Source organism: Homo sapiens, chromosome 11, assembly GCF_000001405.40.
Source record: "Homo sapiens chromosome 11, GRCh38.p14 Primary Assembly".
NCBI classification, from domain to species: domain Eukaryota; kingdom Metazoa; phylum Chordata; class Mammalia; order Primates; family Hominidae; genus Homo; species Homo sapiens.
The window spans coordinates 34,491,500-34,515,680 of NC_000011.10; the positions used below are offsets into that span (position 1 = coordinate 34,491,500).

Below are 24,181 nucleotides of genomic sequence, written 5' to 3' on the forward strand. Positions count from 1 at the left end.
TTAAAAAGCAGTTGGCTTTTTTAGGTTTAGCCTATTAGTTTTGCACAGGGCCCTGGGGTAATAAAACCAGGGACAGGTTTGTTTTTTTTTTTTTTTTCAGGATTTTGCTCTTTTTGCCCAGGCTGGAGTGCAATGGTGCAATCTCGGCTCACTTGCAACCTCCACCTCCTGGGTTCAAGTGATTCTCATGCCTCAGCCTCCTGAGTAACTGGGATTATAGGCACGCACCACCATGCCTGTCTAATTTTGTATTTTTAGTAGAGACGGGGTTTCACCATGTTGGCCAGGCTTGTCTCGAATTCCTGACCTTAGATGATCTGCCTGCCTCAGCCTCCCAAAGTATTGGGATTACAGGCCTGAGCAACTGTGCCTGGCCAACAGGTTTTTTTTGTTTGTTTGTTTTTTGATGCAACCATTGCCAGGGAAGAGAGGTGCTTGTGGTGGGAGATGCCAGCACAGGGGCTGCACAAGAGCATGGAGACAAATGAGGTTGACTTGACATTTGGCCAAGCTGGCATTGCCAAACTGCATCTTTTTCCAGAATAAAATACACCCCTCTCTGTGGCCCTAGGATTTTTGTGCGAGCCTGTTCCCTTGGGAGGATCCTAAATGGAGTCCCAAGCTCCTTCTTCTGGAGCCGTTGTGACTTGGTCAAACTTGTCCTCTTTCAGGGAGTGCCCACTCTGAGCACAGGACACAGATCCCAGCTCTTGGCAGGTCATTGTCACTGGAGTTTTGGCTCCCAGGGCCCCAGCCATGTAGTGCCCAAGGGCCACCATTCTTAGCTTTTCTGCCTTCAAGCGCTCATGATGGATGAGGATCAAGAGGAGGCCAAAGAATCACAGAGCAGGAGGGTCCTCTGTGGTTTTTCTGTGCAAACAAGAGGCGCTGTCATATCCTCCTCTTCAAGCAGGGGGCTATTAGACTACTTGATTATCTCCAGTGGTGGGGATCGTCCTATCTCCTGTATCTTCTGAATTACCTTTTCAAAAGAAGGTACTAACCTTTAAAAAGATCCTTCTTAAAACTGAGCTGAGATAGGCTTCCTTTAACATCCTATAATATGCCTCTTGATTATATTAATGATGATGGAAAAACAGCTGCCATTTACTGCATTTCCATCTTCATATGCTGTTCTAGGTAATATTTCCCTGAATCCTCTCAAAAAGCCCATGGAGGTGTCATTATCCCATTGGACAGATGAGGCAGTGGGGATTCAGACAGCTTAAGCCACTCGCCAGAGGTTCCGTAGCTCGGAGTATTGGAGCCAGGGTTGGAACACAGGTCTTTCGGATCTCCAAGCCCTTGCTTTGTACTGACTTTCTGTGAATCAGCCCTGTTTGCTGTGTGACCTTGAGGAAGTCACTTAATGTCTCAGGATATCAGTTCCTTTATCTATGTGTGACTTTGAGACATTAGAGCTCGATGTTCTCAAAGAACCTTTCTGGATTGAAAAAATGTTCATCGACATTCTGCATGCAAAAGGCCTGTTGAAGAGTTAAATAATGCTATTGGCGCCACCTTCTGGCCACTTGATCCTTGACCATTAGGAATGTGATGAAATGATAATTAGTTGGACTCCTGTAGAAAAGGGAAGGTAGTCTATTTAATTTTATTCCTCTTCTGCTTAATGAGAGATGAAGCACAAACCTCTTTTTTGTCCATCCTGTGTGGTTTCAAATCATTATGAATATACTGTATTATTATCAGCCTGGTGCCTGGGCAGTCCCTGAACGTGGTGTCCGTTTTTCTTTCTCTTTTTTTAAATGCACTCAATTTGCATTTTTGTAACTCGCTCCCTTTTCCCTAAAATCCCCAATTCTGGCATACTAGCTTCCAGTTATTGAAGGTTTGGATTAACGAGAACTCCAGTTAGTAAAATTTTGCTGTGCAATTCACACGATGGGAAAGGACTTCTCAAAGTTGTTTGGTCCTAATCCTGGTCCCTCCCCTGGAGGTCTGGCCCTCTGAACACTGACCTTGTGTGCGGATGTTCTGGAGGATGAAGTACAGGTACTCGCCGCAGAGGCCAGCTGCCTCGACGAACTCCTCCTGTGTCATGCTGCACAGCTGCAGGCCACTGATGTTGAAGTTGCAGAAGGAGATGCAATTGGTGTCCAACTTGTACTGGTCGCAGCAGAACTGGAGCCACTCCCACACATGGCGCTTAGTCCAGTATTCAGGGTGGACTGATGTCCAGTATGAGTCACAGGCTGCACCAAAGGAGAAAGAAGTGAGGGACAACAGTCCCAAGACAGCCTTCGAGAGGGCCCCTGAAGGATGCATCAGTTAAGTAACATCCTCATTCCTCAGCCAATAAGTTGAAAGGGCCTCCAGCCCTGGGTGTTCTGCAGAGCCCAGGTCACCTTCTATTCTGCAGAGAAAACCAGAGGGACTGGATCCTACAGATGAACTTTGGCATCATAGAGGGAATGACAGGGGCAAGAAAGAACCAGTCTTGGTGCTGATGCTCAAAAAAAAAGGCATTTAGTGGAGAAAGAAAGAAAACAGCCCTTCAGTTATTTGATTCCAGATAACATGATATCAAAAGCACAAACTCAGCTGTTTGACAAGCTGGGTTGAAATTCTGATTCTACCACTTTCCGCTTGGCAAGGTCTGTGGACATTGAAGTCTCAGTTTCCTCATCTGTAAAATGGGGATAATATGCTCAATGCCCAGGACTATTATGGAGTTTGGGGTTAATGTATGTAGAATGGCACACAGAAACTTACCAACCAATTCAATAGTTACTAAATGCCTACCGTGTGTCAGAAACCATTTGAAGCTGGTTTTGATTCCCTATGCTTTAAAGGGCAGCTGCCCAATGCTGGCTATTTGTTTCTGCACAGTTACTGGCAATCTTGTGCCAAGAACCTTGGGTTATTAGACATTGCCCAGAGTCTGACAGTCCTTGCGTCACCATAGTAGGCACCTCCAGAGGAAGGTGGTCATGGGAGAGTTGGTTGTATTGTTGTTCTTGTGTTTTTGGTGGTGTTCAGAGTAATTTCTATCCTGAGATCAGAGCCCCCACTCCTTTAGAGGAGTCGTGTACATGCCTAGACAGTTGTGAGTGCCATCTGTCTGGGAGGCTGGCATGTGGCTTTGCCTGGCCCAGGGGTAGAGATTTGGTGTTCAACAGTTCTGTCCTTCTGTTCTTAGGAGAAATGGAAAGTGGGGTGGACATAAGGTATGGAAGAGGTGCTGTATTAGGTACTTGGTCAGGCTCTTTGACATAAACAATTATTGTATCTGCCATGGAAAACATTCATTCATTTATTCATTTCATTCAATAAATAAAAGCTTTAGTTTCCTTACTGGTAAAATTGGAATAATTACAGCACCTGTATCATAGTGCTGTTCTGCAGATTAAATGACTTAATATACATAAAAGTACCTGGAACAGAGCCTGGAGGATTTAAATGCTATTACAAACATTATTATTGAATATCTACTATGTGTGCAGCCACACGTTGTATGTTAAGGATTCATGGTGGACAGGTTTGGTCCCCCGTCCCCCAGGAGATCACAGAAGAGGAACTTGAAAGTCATGAAGGACTTTCCCAAGAACCCACGCCAGCGTGTGGCAGAGCTGGATTTGAACCCTAGCCTGAACTTGAAAGCCATTGCTCTCCCCACACCACCATACCGGGTCAGCACAGAGCAGAGATGGAACGTGAAGAGTGGCTGAGGCACGGGGAAAGCTGGAGAGAACACAACACGAGGGCCTGAAAAGAAAGGCAGAGAGCAGAGAGTGGCTAAGGTGACGATGACAGAAAGGGTCCCTCACATGTTATACCCCACAGCAAATAGCAGTGGTGCGATTTGCAGCGTTTAAAGGTGAGTAGAACTCGCACCATTGTCAGTTGCTGATGATTCCAGGCAGGAGGTGGGTCCTCTGCCTGTCAGGTGCTACTACTCACTCAGCACCCTCAGCCAGCCGAGGCGCTACGCGTTCTTGTCGTCTCAAGTTTCTCAGGTCCCCTCAACAATCCTATCCAGTAGGTGTAATTGGGCTATTCCACAAAAAAGGAAATAGAGGCTCCCCTTAAAACTCAAAGGTCTTCCAGAGATCTCTTTTACCACCGAAGGGTGGGTGGAGGGGCAGTTGATTTATTTTATTTAAAAATTTTCAGAATTTTATATGCATTAAGATCAAAGCGTCAATATTGTGCCAGGGTGCTTGAGGCTGATGTCGTAGCCTCTACCTGGCAGATAGGAAGAGCCAGGGAGCCGGTGAGACCGATGACTCAGGTCTTGCTCACTGGCCACTGGCTGGAGCTGGCTTACCAGGCCCGTGGGGGCTCTTCAGGGCAGGCAGGGGTTCCTGGCAGAACAAGGGGCCATTCCTGAGTTCGGCCTGAGCTTTCATCTACTGATTTCTGGCTTTAGTAAACCTGAGGGGCCTTTTGGACTTTACTGGCGTCCTGTGAGAGATGTTTATGAGCCTTGACATTTTTCAGCTGCGGGCCCTGCCCTAGATGGCCATCGGTGTGCGGCCGTCGGAGGGCACAGTTGATTTCATGGAAAGGTTTCGCCAAGGCTCTGTTCCCGTTTCCCTCCCCTCCCCTCTCTGCTTCCACCCCCTTGTTATTTTCTTTGGCACTTGAAGAGGGCCATATTGTTTGCGGAAGCCAAGGGGGCCTCAAGGATTCGGAGAAACGCCCAGGCGGGGAGTCGGCCCCACACCGGGGAGGTGTTGCTGGCGCTGGCTCCCTGCTCCTCGGCGCTCTGCTTTGAAGCTCACCCACAGAGCGGCTTTGTGTGCGGCCTCGGCCCCTGGAGGGGAGCCAGAGCCCTGCGGAGGCTCCCTCTCCTCATCCGCAAGCTCCTTCCAAAGCCCCAGAACTGGGAGGAAAATGGCTGCTCTGGGTGCCATGGCAGGCCTCTTTTCCGGGGGTCCCATCCTCAGGACGGGAGGAGAGTGGCAGAGCGGAGGCTGCCCAGACGAGGGACGCCGCTGTCAGCCCCTCCTCACCAGCCCCTCTCCTGCTCTTCTCTTTCAGGAGGCTCCACGGCCCAGAGTCTTCCCACAGCGACTTCTCTTTGGATGGAACGTGGTCCCCATCTGCCTTCTCCTGAGGAATCTCTGCTCATCCTCACTCCCCCTCGCAGAGGTCTCTTCCTCCTCACTGAGTGCCCATCAGGCGTCCTCCTCATCCCTCCCCTCCAGACCTAGAGCTTTTGCTCGCCCTGAACCAGGAGTGCTTGGAGCCTGGCCTAGCCCACCACAGGCCTACCTCAGTGAGTGTGACTGACTGACCAGGTGACTGACAGTCACTCTCTCCACTTTACACGTGAGGAGATTGCCGTTCCGGGGACTGACGGGACCCCTGTAAGGTCACGCGGCCTGTCAGTAAAGGAGCTACTGAAGAGGGAAAAGTGGCATTTTCCCTCTTACCACGCCCCACTCTTCTTGGTTGAGGAGGACCAAGTTGGGCACACATCTCAAGACTGACTAAAGCAAGATTTGGATGAAGGTAGATATGTGTAATTGTAATTATAAATAATGGATAAGCAGAGCCTGACTAGAAAAAATAAAAAATACAATCTAGCTTTGAAGAATCAGAAAGAGGATGGAGAGACTGAAGATGATAGTGTTTAGAACCTTAATGAAGACATGAAGAAGACCCTTTTGCTACTTGGAAGACATGAACTCAGGGCAATCAAATAAGGGGTTATATACCCGCAGAATATATTATTTTTAATGGGTTGTGTTGTCTGGAAATGTAAAGTGTTTTTCTCAACGCTTCTATCATTTATAAAATAATCTCAACATTTTGGGAAAGTTGAGCCATGAGGCCCTTCTGCCTATGTCGACCAGTAGACCATCATGGGCCTGGTAGGCTTGATCTGAATGCCCATAGGTCACTATTATTAAGCAGCAGGCTCTGCCAGCTCCTTTGAAGTCTGAAGTGGGTCAGGACACTTGTTTCAGGGCCAGCTGCATTGGAAGGAAGAATTGAACTAGAGGGAGTTTTCAGAAATTCTAGGGGAATTTTCACAAGTGATGCTATAATCTGAGATGCATTTAAATTCAGAAGGAGGACTTTAGCTTTCAGAGCTGGGTGGGTGCACCAGATGCCCGCAGGGTCAGCAGATAATGTCTATGCCTGAAGTGGCCCCATGTGGAGACAGTGGGGATTGGAAAGTTCATGCCAAAGTGCACAATGGCTACCCGACCCCTTGCCTTGTGGAAAGGTGGGCCTTGTGTTGCCAGGACCAGATTGCTAACTGAAATCTCCTGATTTCTATTTTCAAGTGTGGCAACTGGCTTGGTTTTTACAAAACACCACGGGAAGCCCAGTCAAAATGTCTTCATGGGCTGGATCACTCCTGGCCATCACTTTGTGATGAACAATCTGACAGGCTTTTGGCCACTTGTCTCCTTCAAGATTATTGTTTGGAGTGGGCATGCTAAGACTTTGAAGGATTCTTTTATGGTTGAATAATATTTTCTTCAAGTTAAAACTTATCTGGAAAAAAGCAACCCTGTTTTACTGGGAGTGGAGGTGAAGGTATTAGCTCCAGGAAGCTCCTTGAAAATCACTGTTCTCAAACTTGAAACCAGGATTCCTATATTTTGAATTCCCCTTCAAAGTTGAAAGGGCACATGGTCTCTCACACTTAGTGGTCCTGCCTCCTTGGACTCGTCTGCAAAATAAAAATAATAGGACCTACTTATCTGGGCTATTAAAAGGATTATGTAAATTAATACATGGAAAGTACTTAGAACAGGGCCAGGCATATGGCAAGTGCTCATTAAATATCATCCACTTATACTTGTCAATATTAGGGTTACCTCCTGGGCTTCCCGTGTCACCACTTTAATTACATTCCTTCAAACACTTCTAATTTTTTTTTTTAATGTGTAAGCCAGCTGCTTTGTCCCTTTCTAGACCTTCGGTTTATTTTCTTCATAAAAAAATAGGAGTTATATTAGAAACCAAGCTTAGAAACCAAACCTAGCTAATTTGTCTTTGCATTGCCAGCCTGAGTTAGGTCCCTTAATGCTGCCATCTTTGGTTTAAAAGCTGGGGACACAGGCGAGTCTGTGTGACTTTGTAAAATTCTTAATCATCAGGACACACACAAGACTCAAGCTTCTGAAACTGAGCAGAGGAGAGGGTGATGGTGGTGGTGCTGTATCCCCAGGGTGCACAGAGCAGGTAATTGAAAGTCACATAATATTCATTATGCATCTTCAAGAGAAAGATCAGAGGGTGAGTCCATTAATCCCCCACTTCCTTCTTTGTTATAGATAACTGATGTCTTCTCAATCTTATGCAGTGTTCTTAAAAAATCATTTCCAGGTCGGGTGCAGTGGCTCACACCTGTAATCCCAGAACTTTGGGAGGCTGAGGCAGGTGTATCACCTGAGGTCAGGAGTTCAAGACCAGCCTGGCCAACAAGGTGAAACCCTGTCTCTACTAATAATACAAAAATTAGCGGGCGTGGTGGTGCACGCCTGTAATCCCAGCTACTTGAGAGGCTGAGGCAGGAGAATTGCTTGAACCCGGGAGGTGGAGGTTGCAGTGAGCCGAGGTGGCGCCATTGCACTCCAGCCTGGGTGATAGGACGGAAACTCCATTTCCAAAAAAAAAAAATCATTTCCAGACATGTCCTTTGGCCATCTCTTCCAAATGGATTGTTGTCCCTAAGCCCTTCCTATATAAAGATCCTGGAACCCACACTGTTCATTTTCTTGGAGCCTCACTCAAAGCAAAAATTTTGAGGGAAAATTTTGATTTTTGGTTTTTTTGAGACAGGGTCTCACTCTGTCATCCGGGCTGGAGTGCAGTTGCTCGAACATGGCTCACCGCAGGCTCACCCTCCTGGGCTCAAGCAATCCTCCTGCCTCAGCCTCTTGAGTAGCTGGGACCGCAGTTGTGCAACACCATGCATGGCTAATTTTTTAATTTTGTAGGAACAGGGTCTCACCATTTTGCTCAGGCTGGTTGGTCTTGAACTCCTGGGCTCAGGCAATCCTCCTGCTTCAGCCTCCCAAATTGTTGGGATTTCAGGCATGAGCCACTGTGCCTGGCCTGATTTTTATATTACAACAAAATAGATATGCAGCAGAATGCAAAATTTGCAGGTTCTAAAAGAAGTTTGAGCTTAGAGCTTTCAGTTATGTCCCTCTGGAGCAGAACTTGATCTTTTTCCTCTGCTGATTGGGGAGCAGTGGTAAGAAAGTTTGTGAAGCTAGATGAACCTGCCAGCTACAGGAATTCTGTACAAGAATCCAATTCTTGTTCCCAGCCAATGAGCCTGTTGGAGTGGAAGGGACCTTCCAATGGAAGTCACAGGGTTGGGTGTGGCAACTGAGCCTGGGCTGTGGAGATGGACCTTCCTGATTTGAAATCTTGGCTCTTCAATGGATTAGCTGTGCAACTCTAACAAACTGTCCTAACCTCTCTGGACCTCAGTTTCCTTCACTGGTAAAATAAAAATAACAATAGTACCTATATCTTAGGAGGTTTGTTGTGAAGAGGAAATGATGCAGGTAAAGAACTTAGCCTAGTATCTGAATGACAGTAAGTTTTCAGTATAAGTCACCTGTTATTGGTTATTATTTTGGGAATACATTTGTTCTCAGGGAAACGGGGCCTTCCTCAATCTAGCTGAGGAAAAACTACAGTAAAGCAAGCTCAGGGCTTGGCTGGGACAAGACAGACAGTCTGGGTCAGAGGAGGCCCGAGTTAGACAAACTTGGACCATAATTAGCATGATTTACTAGCATAGGGAGTTGGGAAAGTGTTTTGCCCGGGGCAGCACTGAAGAGAGGTGGTGAATGAACTGGATAGCAGGGGCACCATCAATTGCAGCTTTGTCACTGAAAGGAAGGACTTTATGAGGGAAAACCTGAAATGATAAATGGCTTTCAAGTTTCCTCCCAGAGCCAGTCCAGCTCCATCCCATACCCCTTCCTGGCTTTCCAGCATAGCCTATGGAAAGAGACCATGAGATGGAAAAGTTAAGTCCAGTGCAGCATAGGAAACTGTATAGAGAAAACAGGAGAAGGGCTGGCTGCAAAGTAGCCATGGCCTTGGGAGCGTGGAGTTAGGAAGGGGCCAAGAGAGCCAAGCCCTGAGCAGTCCTGGGGCCATGGCCACCCAGAAGGCTCAGGTGCATGTCCACTGGGCTAGAGGTGGCCAACAGTGAGTCCTCCTGAGGTGTGGGCGCTGCCACAGGGCTCACCTCAGACTTTCAGATGATTTTGTATTTGTTGATCTGGTTTTGACTTAGAAGTTCTTAGATTCTTTCCTTTGTATCTGCTCTCAAGCTTCTGTACATAAAACATGAATCTTGCTTAGGAAAGCCCATGTGGGGATGCAGATGCCTCTTTCTCTGACCAGTGGGTTTTGCACTTTTTTTTTTCTTACAAAAAGTGCTTTCTTCAAATAAAATCTCACATTGTGCAATAATATTATAGCTAACATATTTATTGAGCACTTAGTATGTGCCCGTTATCATGCTAAATTATTTGTGCTTTCTCATGTTGTCCCTAACACAATGCTATGAAGTCCTCTGTCATGTTACCCATTTTACAAAGGGAGAAAGTAAGGCTCACGGGTGTGACCCTTTTCAAGCTCACGTAACCCGTAAGTGGCAGAGCTAGGAGTGGGTTATCTGGGTGTATTCTGGCTCCTGCAGCCCAGCCTCACTGTGCTCTACCGTCTTCAGAATTAAAGTGGAGAAGCATGCTTAGGGATGGAGGTGGACAGAGAAGGACTGAAGCCCCATCTTCTCAACTGTCACTTCCACTCCCTTCTCTGGTGGTCCCTAAGGAACCTCTGGGAAACCCCTAAAGCCTCTCAGGAACCTCAGTTTAGAAACCTCTGCAGCTGACAAAGTATAAGCAAGATTCCAAAGCAAAGGAGGCGCTGCATGTGTGCGTGGCACATTGGCTGTCAGGGGAGGGGTGTTGGTCTGTGGAGGTTAAGGAAAGAATTCCAGAAAGAAAGTAGTGGCAAGGCCAGGGTACTCAATGACTACTGGAGGGTTGGCTACTGGAACTCGACTGGAGAAACCATCTTTTAAAAATATCATATGCATGTGAACTACATGCAGCCTCCCCCCCAACCAACTCTCCCGCCCACTTGGATACATTTTCCAGTAGTCATCGTTCTTTACTTTGAAAAAGCCACAGGCAAGGCAGGGTAAGTTCATGAAATTCTAGAGTATTTTGCAATCTGGACTGTCCAACCTCCTGCCTGCAGTGCAGCCAAGCAGAAGTCCTGCTTCAAAGAGCAGGTCAGAATCCTTTGTGGTTACCACACCAGGGCACAGATTCAGCGGCACTCTGCTCAAGCCATTTGAAGGGTTTTTGAGAACAGCTGGTTTTCCTAAATAGGCTGAGTATTCCACCCTTCCCTCTCCTAGACATCATTTGTCTAGAAGGCACATCATTTTTTTTTCTCCTTTTCCTTCCCTTCCCTCAGGTCTCAAATATCTAAGCTGTTAAAAATTCTGAACTGAGAAGCTTGAGATGGAGTTTTGTTGTTATTTTTGTTCAATATGGACAATGAAGAGAGGAGAGGGAAGGCTGTTTTTCCACCCAACAGGGAGTGGTGAGGAGTTCTTGGCTAGGGTGAGCACTTCCCAAGTGCCAGGCACGTGACTAAACACTTCGTACACAAAATATCATTCAATCTCCCCAACTCCAGGAGGCAGAGGAAAGCATATCTCAAAAAACTGGCTGCAGGTCACATGGCTGGTAAGTGGCAGTGCCTGCCCATGAACCTGGGTGAACAGGAAGCTGCCACTGCAACAATCTTTAGGAGGGCCCAGAATTCCAGATAGTATTTCCTGGGAGGTGGGTAAGGACCTCAGGAGAGGTATCTCAGAGCCTGCTGGCCATGGAGCAGGGAAAGTTGGCTGAGCAGTGCCCAGAGGCAAAGCTGGCTGTCTCCTGACCCACCCCTGCCAGAGGGGGCTTTTGTAGAAACTCCAAATGGCTGCACCTCTCTGGGTGGCAACGTCCTTGTTGATAAAAGACAGAAGGCCCCTCCTGCTAATCCTCCCACCTGTGGAGGAGAGCAGGGGCTACAAGGCTCACCCGGTGCCCAGGCAGCTCCAAGAGAGGTGTTTACTCCAGGTGAACATTTCACACCCAACTTCGACCTTTTGGAGGTCAGTGATACTGAGCTTCCCCTGAAATCCCGAGGGCCGGTGGCTACTTGAAAGCCTGGCTCCATCCCTCAGGGAGCCTTAGGAACCTGGGCCAGTCTCGAAGGCTATTTTATTTTCACTGGCCGCATGACTTGATGGGAATTTCTGTTTTCTCAGTGGGTGGTGGGAGGAGAAGGCTGTGTCTTCGATATTGCCTGATGCAGGAATCACAGAAGCTTCTGGAAGGGATCCTAGCAATGGCCTGGTCTAACCTTTCATGACGTTGATGGAAATGCGGAAGCCTCTGGCCAGAGAGCTGTGTCTGAATGTCTAAGACTTGGTTGGATTTAAGGAACTCTGGCAATGCCACTGGTGATCACTTCTGTTAACCTCATTCTTTAAAATTGTGGTAAAACATACATAATATAACACTTAATCATTTTAACTTTTCTTAAGGGTACAGTTCAGTGGCATTAAGTACATTCACATTGTTGCACAGTCATCAGTGCTATTCACTTCCAGAATTTGTTCATTATCCCAAACTGAAACTAATCCTTTTTTTTTGACCCAGAGTCTCCCCCTGTTGCTCAGGCTGGAGTGCAGTGGCATACTCACAGCTCACTGCAGCTTCAACCTTCTGAGCTCAAGGGATCCTCCTGTCTCAGCCTCCCGAGTAGCTGGGACTACAGGTGCGTGCCACCATGCCCAGCTAATTTTTGTATTTTTTCGTAGAGACGGGGTTTCTCCATGTTGCCCAGGCTGGTCTTAAACTCCTGACCTCAGGTGATCTGCCTGCCTTGGCCTCCCAAAGTGCTGGGATTACAGGCAGGAGCCACCATGCCTGCTCCCCAACCTTTTTTTTTTATCTCACTGTCGCTCAGGCTGGAGTGCAGTGGCGTGACTGCAGCTCACTGCAGCCTCGGCCTTCCGGGCTCAAGGGATCCTCCTGCCTCAGCCTCCCAAGTAGCTAGGACTACAGGCATGTGCCACCATACCAGGCCAATTTTTAAACAATTTTTTGTAGATACAAGGTCTCACTATGTTGCCCAGGCTGGTCTCCAATTCCTAGGCTCAAGTGATAATCCTGCCTCGGCCTTCCAAAGTGCTAGGATTACAGGTGTAAGCCATCACGTCCAGCTAATCCTTCAATTTTTTAAACAGTTATGTGTGCTTACCAGGTACCGGACTGTGTCCTAAACACTTCCCATATGATAACTCATTTCATTAGCATAACAACTCTACAAGGTAGCATTGTGGTCATTCCCATTTTACAGATGAGAAACTAACTGGGACATGAGAGGTTAAGATGACACAGCTAGTGTCAGAGCCAGACTTCCCATTTGGGACACACCAGGTCTTCATGACACAGAGCCGCTGCTTCACTGCCCAGGCCATTGCCTGGGGCAGCTGGTTGTAGCCCGCCCCTCCCACTGCCACCCCAACTACTTCCCAGCAGAATAGGCAGAAAGAGGGGGCTCTCATGATGGCAGGTCTGGGTTAAGTGAGGCCTGGCCTTATGCATAGGTAGAGAGAGAGCCTGGAGCTGGGCCCCACCACTGTGGGAAACATAGGGAGGGCACGGCGACTTGAAAGTTTTCATTTTCCTCCTTCAGATTTAACCTGTTAACCAAAGTTCAAGGGAAGGAGACACAGTACATTTCTCATGTCTTTCTGGGAAACAAGGTGCTTCTTAGGCCTAAAGGAGAATTGTAAGATGTATCTGTTTGATTCAAGTCCAAATGCAATGATCTAGACCTTACAGATGAGGGTGAGAGATTTCACATGTGCGTGTGTGTGTGTGCACGCGTGTGTGTATGTGTGTCCATGTGGGGTGGGGGCAGGTGTGGGATTGCATTATGTAGGTAAGTGCCTCAAGTCTGTGAGTGTGGCCTGGTCCCTGGCCCCAGAGGCAGGGGCTTCTGGTAGTGGACTTTTTGCAGTCCCTGGAGGCATGGCCTCTCTTGCACACTGCCTGCCTCCGGACACTGAGTCTGGACTCCTACATGGGGTTAACACTCAGTGAGGACTGACAGCTTGATTGGCACTTGCATGACCGCTGAGCAGCGTGTGCTCCTGTTGTGCCAGCAGTCAGCCAGGTGTGCTGTGATATGTGGTCACCCAAGCACCTCAGTGACAGAGGCCCTCAGAGGGTTTCTGGGGGCAAAGCTCGGCTGGCCTCCCTCCGGCATGGGATTTTCTCAAGGTCCCATGCTGCCTTCTCAGGTGGAGAAATCCAGGCTGAGAAAGAGGAGGGAGGGTGGGGAAGGAGGCCTGGGGAACAGTGAGGGGCTCATATTTACTGAACACTTGTTTTGTGCCAGGCTACATATTTACACCCTTTGGCTCCCTTAGTCCTTATAGTAGCTCTCATCACCCCTGGTTTAGGGAAAAAGAAATAGAAGCTCAGAGAATAATGATATATTAATATCAATAACCACAGTGTGATATCAATTATAAGATGGGTCAACTTGCATGGAGCTTAACTGTGAGGCCCAGGGCAAGTCACTTAGCCTCTCTGTATCTCAGTTTCTTCATGTATAAAATGGGGATAATAATTGTTCATCTCATAGGGCTTTGGCAAGGATGAGATGGTGCTTGGCACAAGGTTTGGTACACAGCTCGTGTTCAGTAAATGTTGGCTAAAACCACCATGACCAAGCAAACACAGCATACCAGGTCCTGGGCTAAGGGCTTTCTTTCTACTACATTGTTTAAATATCATAATAACTCCAAGAGACGTACATTTTACTTGGCAGCAAAACGAGGCTCAGAGAGGTTAGCTGAGCCGTGCACGGCCTCGAGGCCACAGAACTAGGGAGTTTGGGGGTGAGGGTTCCAGCACCTTTTATCTGCAAGAGGTTGCCCTTCCTTCCATCCAGGAGCCCTCCAGCCCTCTGCCCTGAACTCTGGTGTTCCTAGGCCCCAGCACAGCTTTGTCTTCCACCTGCGGCCAGCACCACCTCCTGCCCTAGCCCATCCTGGCTGCACTCAGATGGGCTCCTTCAAATGTACGCACCTGTCTGATGCTCAAAGGCAGGGTAGTACTCTTCATTGCTGAACAGATCAGTCCACGACATCAGGGGATCGCAGAAGGATGCATTAGGCAGGAAGGTGCTGTGTGTCACCGAGTCCAACATTACCCTGCAACAGCAGGAGAGGTCGTGAGGAGGCTGGGGTGAGGTACTCCTGAAGCCACACTGTGCAGGAGCCCCTAGCAGGGCGATACTTGTTTTTTAAAAATGATAACAAATATGTCACTCACTAGGAGCAGGCACCGCCTAGTGTCACCTACGAGTGACATTATTCCACCCTTGCCATATCCTGTCTATCCCCATTTTAGATGAGAAAACTGAGGCAAAAGGGTTGAGACAATTGCCAAAGTGATATAACTAGAAAGTGGCAAAGAGGGGACTGGAGCATGGAGGCTCTGATTATGCAATATTGCCTCTTTATTTATGTTTCCTGTTTGCTCACATCTGACCCCTGAACTCTGACTTATGATGTTCAATAATATGCTTCTAGAAACAGCGTGAGATGCAGCCATAAGAAAGAACAAGATCATGCCCTGTGCAGTAACACAGATGCAGCTGGAGGCTATTATCCCGAGCAAATTAAGTCAGGAACAGAAAACCGTATACCTCATCTTCTCACTTAGAAGGGGGCACTAAATGTTGAGTACTCCTGGACATAAAGGTGGGGACAATAGACACTGGGGACTACCAGAGGGAGGAGGCAGGGAAGGGGGCCAAGGTTGAAAAACTAACTACTGGATACTATACTCAGTACCTGTGTGATGAGATCAATAGCACCTGAAACCTCAGCATGGTGCAATACACACAGGTAACAAACCTGCACACATACCCCCTGAATCTAAACTAAAAGTTGAAATAATAAAAATAAAATAAAATTGTTTTTTTTAAAAGATGTAATCCTGCTCTGTCGCCAGGCTGGAGTGTAGTGGTGTGATCTAGGCTCACTGCAACCTCTGCCTCCTGGGTTCAAGCGATCCTCCCACCTCCACCTCCCGAGTAGCTGGGTCTACAAGTGTGTACCATCAAACCTGGCTAATTTTTGTATTTTTAGTAAAGATGGAGTTTCACCATGTTGGCCAGGCTGGTCTCGAACTCCTGACCTCAAGTGATCTCCCCTTCTTGGCCTCCCAAAGTCCTGGGATTACAGGTGTGAGCCACAGAAACTGGCCGAAAAAAATAAATAAATAAAAATGAGGTAAGAATTACTGTGTGTGATTAATCCATAATTCTGAAATCTGAAAGCTCTGAAAACTGAAAGGAAGTGTGTGTGTACGTGTGTGTGTGTTTGCTGCAATCTTATTTTCTAGCACAAAACAGTCCTGAATTGATGTTATATAGTTTTATATACTGTTTCATACATACATACACATACATACAACATATATATGTTATACAGTTTTATAACTATGGTTGCAGTTTTATTTATTGCACTGAGTGAATATTCTTATGATGCAGTGCAGAAATATTAATGTTTAGAGCAAACCCTAAACCCTGAGGGGTAATCTGTACTCCACTGTATATATACTATCTCGCCTTCCTAAATCTGTGAAGAATTCAGAATTCTGCAGCATGTGCGGCCCAAGGTTTTGGAGACGAGTGTGGACCTGTGGTAATTGCAACAAGCACTTCACTTTGGGCTTCATGCTGAGTACTTTAGCACTTTAGCTATATTCTTCCTGGTCTGCTCAGAACAACCACTCTGAGATAGGTACTGGCAGCAGTTCCATTTCATAGGTGAGGGATGGAGGCTCTGAGATTCCGGGTAATACATGCAAAGCCAGCGAAGCTGGGTGGTGGCTCAGGTGTGTCTGTTTAAAAAGCCCATTCTAATTGCTGTGCTCCAGTCCCCACACACTTTGGTGGCGGCAAGGAGCTCTGGGGCAGGGTGTGTGGTTGAGGCTGGAAGGAAGGCAGAAAAGAACAGGCCTAGGGCCCCCGCTTGCACACATTCTTGCCTGTGCTGGTCTCAACTTTGCTGCTTCCCATGTTCCCACATGCCACTCTCTACTGAATCCCATCTCCCCGCAATTCAGAAAAAATAATAATCTGTGTTTGGTGGATTAAAACAATCTGTTCACCCGAATTCTTTTTTCTGATTCTTGAAATAATGTTGACATAGAGTAGTTCTTTCCTCGTTTTGCAAAGGGAACATAGCTGCTCAAGATCACACCACTGGTAAGTGTCTTGGGATATTAAACACATGGAATTTTAAGATTGGCAGGAGTGAATTCTTCATCTAGTCCAGTGTTTCCTAAACTTCAGTCATTTGCCTACGACTGTGATAATTTCACTCAATCCATATACTACGAGCACTATTATTTACTTAAAATACTTAAAAAAATCATCAACTCCCTTTTTGTTTTAACATAAATATGCTAATTAAAAGGAAAACTTTATATTAGCAATATAAATGGAAAGTCAGGATTTTTTAAACATACATAAAAATAAATATTTAAGCATTTGAATAAAAATGGTTCATGCGCCACCTAAATCAGGGGTTAGCAAACTACATCCTATAGGCAAAATGCAGTCCCTCACCTATTTTTGTAAAGCCTGCAGTTAAAAATAATTTTACTGCTGGGCGCAGTGGTTTACACCTGTAATCCCAGCACTTTGGGAGGCCGAGGCGGGTGGGTCACTTGAGGTCAGGAGTTCAAGACCAGCCTGGTCAACATGGTGAAACCCCCGTCTCTACTAAAAATACAAACATTAGCTGGGTGTGTTGGTGCATGCCTGCAATCCCAGCTACTCGGGAGAGTGAGACAGGAGAATCGCTTGAACCTGGGAGGCAGAGGTTGCAGTGAACCGAGATTGTGCCACTGCACTCCAGCCTGGGCGACAGAGCAAGACTATGTCTCACAAAAAAATAAAAAATAAAAAATAAAAAATAAAAAAAACTTTACATTTTTAAGTGGTTACATTTTAAGTGGTTATATAAATATTTACATCATATCCTTGATTTTGCCTTTTGGCCTGCTAATCCTAAAATACCTGGCCCTTTAAGAAAAAGTTTGCAACCCCTAACCAGATTCATCTGGCATGTTGCCAGTTGATGTGAGTACCACGTGTTGGAAGATACTGAGTTAGTCCAATTTCCCTCCTCGCCTCCACCATTTTACAGTTGAGGAAGTTGAGACTCAGGGAATTTGTGTAACTAGCTCAAGGTCACATAGCCAGTGGATGCCAGAGTTAAGTGGCAGGGAGGTCCTTAGTTTTCTGACTCTCAGCCCATCTGCTTCTCTTTCTGAAAACACAATTGAGCCCCAAGGCACACTTATATAGCAAATCAAACCTCAGTACTAAGAGGGGCAGGATTGTGTGATTCTGAAACCAAAGGTCAATTCTTTGCAGATGCTTGAAAATCTCCAACCACCATCATCATCACCATCAAATGTGCATGAGACGCCGGGTGCGGTGGTTCATGCCTGTAATCCCAGCACTTTGGAAGGCCAAGGTGGGCAGATCGCTTGAGGTCAGGAGTTCGAGACCAGCCTGGACAACATGGCGAAACCCCGTCTCCACTAAAAACACAACAATTAGCTGGGCATGGTGGTGCACACCTGTAATCCCAGCTACTCAGGAGGTTGAGGCATGAGAATCACGAACCCAGGAGGCAGAGGTTGCAGTGAGCTGAGATCGTGCCACTGCACTCCAGCCTGGGTGACAGAGTGAGACTCTGTCTCGAAAACAACAACAACAACAACAAAAACGTGCATGAGAACTCCTCTCCAGATGTAAATATATAACCGAGTTTGAATTCTGACACTTAGGCACCTTTTCTGGGCCATCACCCAAGAGTTTCCAGACTCTGCTGGGAAGTCTCTTTGCTGATGCCTGGAGAGGGTTAATGTGCTCTGCAGATTATCGTGGGCATGGATCTCCTCCTGGGAGCCCAATCAAACAGATGTCAAGGCTGCCTGGGTTTGGGCTGTGATTTTCCCACGGATTGGCTGGTTTTATATCCTGAGTGAGGGGGGCAGGGAGGGGGTAGGATGCTGAGGGATGGGGTGAGAGGTTATGAGGAAGGGAAGGGCCTCAGGAGCTGAAAGCCACTTCTGCTTTCTGGACTGGACTTCAGAAAAGTTCCTTTAAGTGAGGGCTGAAGACAAATATATCCCTTTTCTTCTGGGCCAGAAGGCTCAGAAAACTAAAGAAGAGGATGGCAGGCCTGTGATATGACCTTCTTTGGGTTGGGAGAAAGGAGAGGTGAATTCCACACGGAAGAAAACAGAAAACAGTCCCCAGGTCTTCAGTGTCAAATAAGGAATCCATCAAATACAAAACACGACAGTGGGAATGAGATCTTCCTCATCTATGCCTCACTAATTGCTCTCAAAAGTCATTGGGTATTAACAAAAAAAAAGGTCATTTGGTAAATTGAATGGCATTATATAAAAACTAGAAATATTTTTTGATCAATAGTATTTTTACCTCTTTTAATATTGTTATTCTTTCTCCTCTTTATACCGGCCTACTCACTTGATCTGTAATCTCTCTAGTGCTATACACAATGCTGTATCTGATTCCCTTTGGTAATTCCTTCTAAGGCAAATTATATCCATTAAGTTTTTGTAAAGGGCCTTCTCAGGTGTACAGCATGCTATTTTTCTTCTGTAATTATTTCTTGCTTTTGGAAAAAATATCTTTTATAAAAGCAGAAAAAGGTGTTTTTTTTTTTTTTTCCTGTTACAGCAGGAGTGGGTGTTATTAACTCTGGGCTCTCCACAAAAGACCTTGGCTACTTAGCCAGCATGCAGTAGGTGTGAGAGTTCAAGAATAATGGCTGCTTTGTATTCAGTAGCCTCTCTTCTCTAGGCCCTCTAAGGTCCTTGCAATAATTGAACATTTTAGCTCTTAAGGACTTCTTTAGTGGAGGTAGAGCAGGATAGGTGTGAAAAGGCAGATGTCCAGAGCCCCCTTTCTCAGAAGTAACACTGAGGCCCAGGGATATGTGAACACAGGCCTGAGGTTAGGCCAGGCCTGCTCAAGGGGGGTGATATTGCCCCCCTCTTTAGGGAACAAAGATGAGTTCTTGGGGATCAAAAAACTGAGTTATTAATTACAGTGTTTTATCATGCTCCAAAGGTCTACAGTAGATGTATAGTTTATCTCTGGTACTCACATTTCTGGTGGGGAGATGATTAAGAAAAAATGACCTAAAAAGTGTCCTTAGGAGAAGTGATAAAAAAAAGGTGGAGAAGCGCTGTGATAGATCCACCTAGTGTCAGCGCCAGTACAGACAGGGATCTGCTGGGAGGTCTCTTGGCCTGCTGTTCTGGACATACTTTTCATTTTGTGAGGGACTAGCTGGCTCATCATGGAAGGAGCCCTGGGCCTGGAGTTATGATTCTGCCTCTTGCCCCTCTCCAAATCTCAGTTCTTCAACTACTAAACAAGAACACAGATAAAACAGCCCCCAAGGTCTGCCCTAACTCTGTGACTTTCTGCAGACACCCACCTGATTGAGCCAACACATCCAAACCTGGGCACTCACACACATATGCATACACATTGATTATATTTGCATTTTTTTGGTCAAGCAAGTCCACCAAATTGGAGGAAAATCCAACCACTACACACAGACTGAACTTTTAGTGCTGAAAAAGCTCCCTGATTTCCTCTTCTCCCTTTTCTCCTGTGCCCACTGCCTTCTACCCCAGTTGGAGGTAGATACCTCAGGACAACTGGATATTCTTTGCCCAGCCTAGCTGGGTACCTTAAACACTCTGGACCCTCACTCACTGCCCACCGATAGATCCGTGGAAGCTGGAATCAGTTTCCCCCAAATGTAGTCATCATTCTAGCTGCCTAGTAAGTAGGAAAAGCTCAAGAATGATTAACACAAGGTGGTGGAATCAGGTGGGCTCACTTCACACATGAGAAAGTTGGCTGCAGGTACCTGTGGGAGTGAGGCAGAGATGGCATGGAAGCTGAGGTCCCCAGATGCCTCCAGTGGCTTCTGAACCCTTCTCAGAGCTGGCTCACACACCAAATGCACACAGAGAGGGTCCACCGAGTTGGAGGGACAGGCCTGTGGGCTTCTCAGTGTCACACAAATCAGAGGCAGCAATAACAGGTGTGGCTCCCATGGCCTGAGCAACCCGGCACCCCTGCTCAGCCTCCCAGAGAGAGGGGAAGGAGCAAACCACTCAGCCTTGGCCAGTTTGCCAGAGGAGGAAAATTCCTTCCTGACTCTGGTGGTGATCATCAACTTCACTCTGGGCATGTGACCAAAAATTGGCCCAATTAAGCATCTACACATTGGCTGTTTACGGGCCAAATCATCACTGGGCAGAACTAGGCCATAGGGTGCAAAATATAGAAAAAAGTGGCCAAGATTGGGCTTCCTCAACCCCACCCTCTGAGTGGTATCATTGGGAAGAAAATCGGTTTTCCTTCCTTAAAGCCTCAGTGATACCCAAATGTCCACTCCGTCCCAAGACTTGTGAGCAAGGGAGGGTCAATTTCCCAGCCCTTGGACCTCCCTAAGAAGGGGCCCACTGAGGAGAACCCAGTGGAGTATTTCAACACTTACTGCTAAAGAAAGATTGAGGGTTGGGTGCTTGAGGGTTTGTTCTTCTGAGAGGAACCCTAGCAACTGTGAGAACCAATTTGCTGACCTCTTGTCAAGTGATTCCTCATTTTTCTTTAGCTCGCTTAGGGAGTTTGCGTGTTTGTTTGTTTGTAGCTGTTTTTCTGAAGGTGCAGCGAAGATCCAAAAAGGTATGCCATGTAGTTTGCTGTAGGCTTCGATGCAAAGCTTACCAGTTTTGGATTACATATATCAGGGGTTAAATCCTACCTCTGCTGCTGCGAACGTGGGGCACATTTCTTACTACCCAGACTGCTGAAATTCTTAAGCTTTTTTTCATATAGATGTGGTATATAAATATTCATGCCCCTCTTCGAACTACGGTTTCCTCATCTCTAAAATGGGGATTTTTTTTTTTTTAAATCATGCAATCCGATATATGCAAAGGACGGGGCATAATACATATATTCAATCCTGTTTTAGAGGGAAAAATCAGCCATCAACAATGTATCTAAAAATTTGCCACTCTGGTGACTTCTGAAAAAGGGAGATGACCAAACTGAAAACTCCGGCCCGAGAATACCTTAGATTATGAAAAACAGTATTGCAGAGAACACGAAGACAACAGAATCAAGCGTTCACTCGGATGGGCAAACCACCCCTTTCCCTGGGTCTCTGGACTAGACTGAACCACAGAGCTGCCTCCCTAAGTCATCTAGCCTTTCTGGCCTCAGTTTCCTCATCTGTAACATGAAGCGATTGCACCTAGTGATGTCTGACACACTTTCGGGCGTACAAAAGGCATCCACACGCAGGCCCGGCTTCAGCCTGAGGAGGGAGCTTGTGCTACCTGTCGCTGTCAGCAGGGGGCAACCCCACAGAAACCCCACACACTGCAGAGTCTGACAAGGCCTGAGAACACAGTGGAAAAACGCTAACCATTGCTTTTCTGGAAGCATTCTCTTCTGGGGAGATGTCAGAGGGCAAATGGGTTTCTTTTAAAACTGTTTTGTACAAATTCCTGAAAATGCCCCAAACTATAATAAGGGAGTTCTCTGTATCGAGGGGGTGGGGGACAGTGGGCAGGCCGGTGGGGAAAGGAATTCAGTCAGGGGAGAAGGGTAGGTGGGGGGCTTTCCTTGAAGCTGAATATTTTTCTGAGTAAAATCCAGCTTCCCTTCCTAAAGAAGCTTTAGGGAGGATAGAGAACTGAGCGCCTGGGCGCGTTCTCTTAATTCCCCTTGGTTCAGCTAAGGGATCCAGAGGGAGTGGTGGCTGTGAGGAGGGCTGGTGGCCACACGGCCTGCGGAGGCAAGCAGGTCTCTCTGAGGCAAGCCGTCACATCCGTGTCAAACAGCTCCCGGAGGCCCTGGGACTGCACCCAGCGCAGGTGCCGGCCCTGGAGCTGGAGATGGACGAGCAGACCCAGGCCCCAGGCCGAGCCTCTGAGCCCTGACACCCCTTACGATTCATCCAAAAAAGCAAAGAAAAGGCGCTTACGTGAGGGCAGCGGTGGCTAGGTCCAAAGAGGAGGCTTTCAAGGCAAGAGAAGGCAGGCGCTCCCAGCACCAGCGTGCAGTGGAAATAAAGACACCTGTAGCCTTGTGATATAAGTGACACCTACAGACAGGTCCGTTTGGTTTTTCAGGTTTACGCACAGCCCCTTTGATGACGGTGACATACAGTGTGACACGGCTCCTTGGAGGGGGGGAAATGGTTCTCATATGCAGAAAGTTTACCTTTATCCTGCTTTTGTGCGCAGCTCACCCCTGCCCTGCAACCCCCCACTCCCAGCCCAGGGGACTCAGTAAACAAGCAGAAAATTCTTGTCCCTGGGAGCTGTGCGGGGATCGTGCGTTTGGTGAGGAATTTTCCTCTGTGCAAGCTGGAGGGGAAACACAGAGATTCCACCCTGGTGCCGGTCTGCGCTGCCTCTCTCCCAGGCTGGCTGAGCCCAGTGCTTTTGTAAGATCATGTCTTTCTCCGTTTTTCCCATGTGGTGAGAAGGAAGAGCATTATAGGCCCAGTGTTAAGACCTCAGGTTTTGCAGCTAGTTGCCTTTAGATTCAAATTCAGTGTCCATCATTTCCTAGCTGTGCTACCTAGAAAAATGTAGCTAACATCTCTGGGCTTCATGAGTGTAATGTAAGTGATGGGGCCTCTCCTCATGTGGATGCCAGCTCTCAGGTGTCTCGCTGAGAACTGCCCGCTTTTTAGTACTTCTTCGTGACAACAGAAACTCTGCCTAATTTAGGCTGCAAAGCACAGTGTCCCAGGTCATCTATGAGACAGGTATTTATAACCCTGTGCCTTTTTGCATTCTGCTTCTAGCCATCTTGGGCAGCCGAGATGTTGTATTCAAATGGCAGACTCCAAGCTTTAAAGCGAAAGCAAGGACTGGTTTGTTATGTTTTCTTGGGATCACCGGGCATGGTTACAAACACACAAATACAAATACGCATATAGTCTGCAGAAACAAAAGGCAGTTCGTGAGAGGATTCGGGGTGTCATCATGGAAAAATTGTTGAAGGAAGATAGGTGACTGCCTAGACCCCTATCTTGGCTGGGTAACCTGGACTTCTCTGGGCTTCATTTTTCCCCAGTGGCAAAAGGAGGAAGTGGGATTGAAATAGTGATTTTTTTCAAACTGTGACTTGAGGAACCCCAGGGGCTCCCTGGAGCCCTTACAAGGACTTTTGCGGGTGAGAGGATGGGAGTGGAGTAGAGTGGGTTAGGCTCTAGACCACCCCGTTCCTTCCTGACTCAATAAGAGCATCTCAGCTTTTATATAAATCTTCCGGGTAAGATTTCATTTGAACAAAAGAATCTGCCCTTAGAAAGGGTTTGCAAGTAACTGGATTACATGGTCTTTGGGCCTCTTTCAAGCTTTAAAATTCTGTACTTCTCTTCCTCTTTGGTTTCTAGGGGACTGTGCACTGTGATAGTCCCACACACTGTGTTTTCCATTGTTGGGCACTGGCCTATCTTGTCATTGATTTCTGAAATGTTACCAGTGTTTCTTTCTGAACATATACATTCTTCTCAGTGGAGAGGTTTTTAGGGAAAACATGTTATTCTGATACTGTTTTTAGAAAGAGTCTTTTGGGCTGGGCGCAGTGGCTCATGCCTGTAATCCCAGCACTTTGGGAGGCCGAGGCAAGCAGATCATGAGGTCAGGAGTTCAAGACCAGCCTGGCCAACCTGGTGAAACCCCATCTCTATTAAAAATACAAAAATTAGCTGGGCGTGGTGGTGCACATCTGTAATCCCAGCTACTCAGGAGGCTGAGGCAGGAGAATCGCTTGAACCCAGGAGGCGGAGGTTGCAGTGAGCCGAGATAACGCCATTGCGCTCCAGCCGAGGCAACAGAGTGAGACTCCATCTCAAAAAAAAAAAAGAGTCTTTTGGAGAAATTATATTTTTTCTATACTCTTTTGGCTCAATTTTTTCCCCAGGGGCTGTGGCTGCCCAACTGACTCAATTATTTGAGTATAAAAGTCTTCT

General features: G+C 47.0%; 1 protein-coding gene across 6 annotated transcripts in view, besides 1 other annotated feature; it reads right to left on the reverse strand.

Annotated features, from left to right (window-relative positions):
* The window catches only part of ELF5 (E74 like ETS transcription factor 5), a 35,004-nt gene extending 12,709 nt beyond the window's left edge, over positions 1-22,295 (reverse strand). For 3 of the 6 annotated variants that reach the window (XM_017017308.2, XM_017017309.2, NM_001422.4), the window contains exons 1-3: positions 22,178-22,295; positions 14,130-14,254; positions 1,980-2,213 (exon numbers count right to left, since the gene is read on the reverse strand). In XM_017017308.2, the coding sequence (XP_016872797.1) occupies positions 1,980-2,213; positions 14,130-14,250 (355 nt within the window). In that variant the 5' untranslated portion in view covers positions 14,251-14,254; positions 22,178-22,295. Of the gene's footprint in view, positions 1-1,979; positions 2,214-14,129; positions 14,255-20,044; positions 20,226-22,177 lie in introns of those variants that run through there. The other 3 variants (NM_198381.2, NM_001243080.2, NM_001243081.2) reach the window with 3 other exon arrangements.
* Positions 4,649-5,148: an enhancer, noted in NCBI's record as "H3K4me1 hESC enhancer chr11:34517695-34518194 (GRCh37/hg19 assembly coordinates)". NCBI's record gives its function as "activates a minimal SCP1, AML or CMV promoter by ChIP-STARR-seq in naive and primed H9 embryonic stem cells {active_cell/tissue: H9 hESC(naive and primed)}" and the evidence as "EXISTENCE:reporter gene assay evidence [ECO:0000049][PMID:30033119]".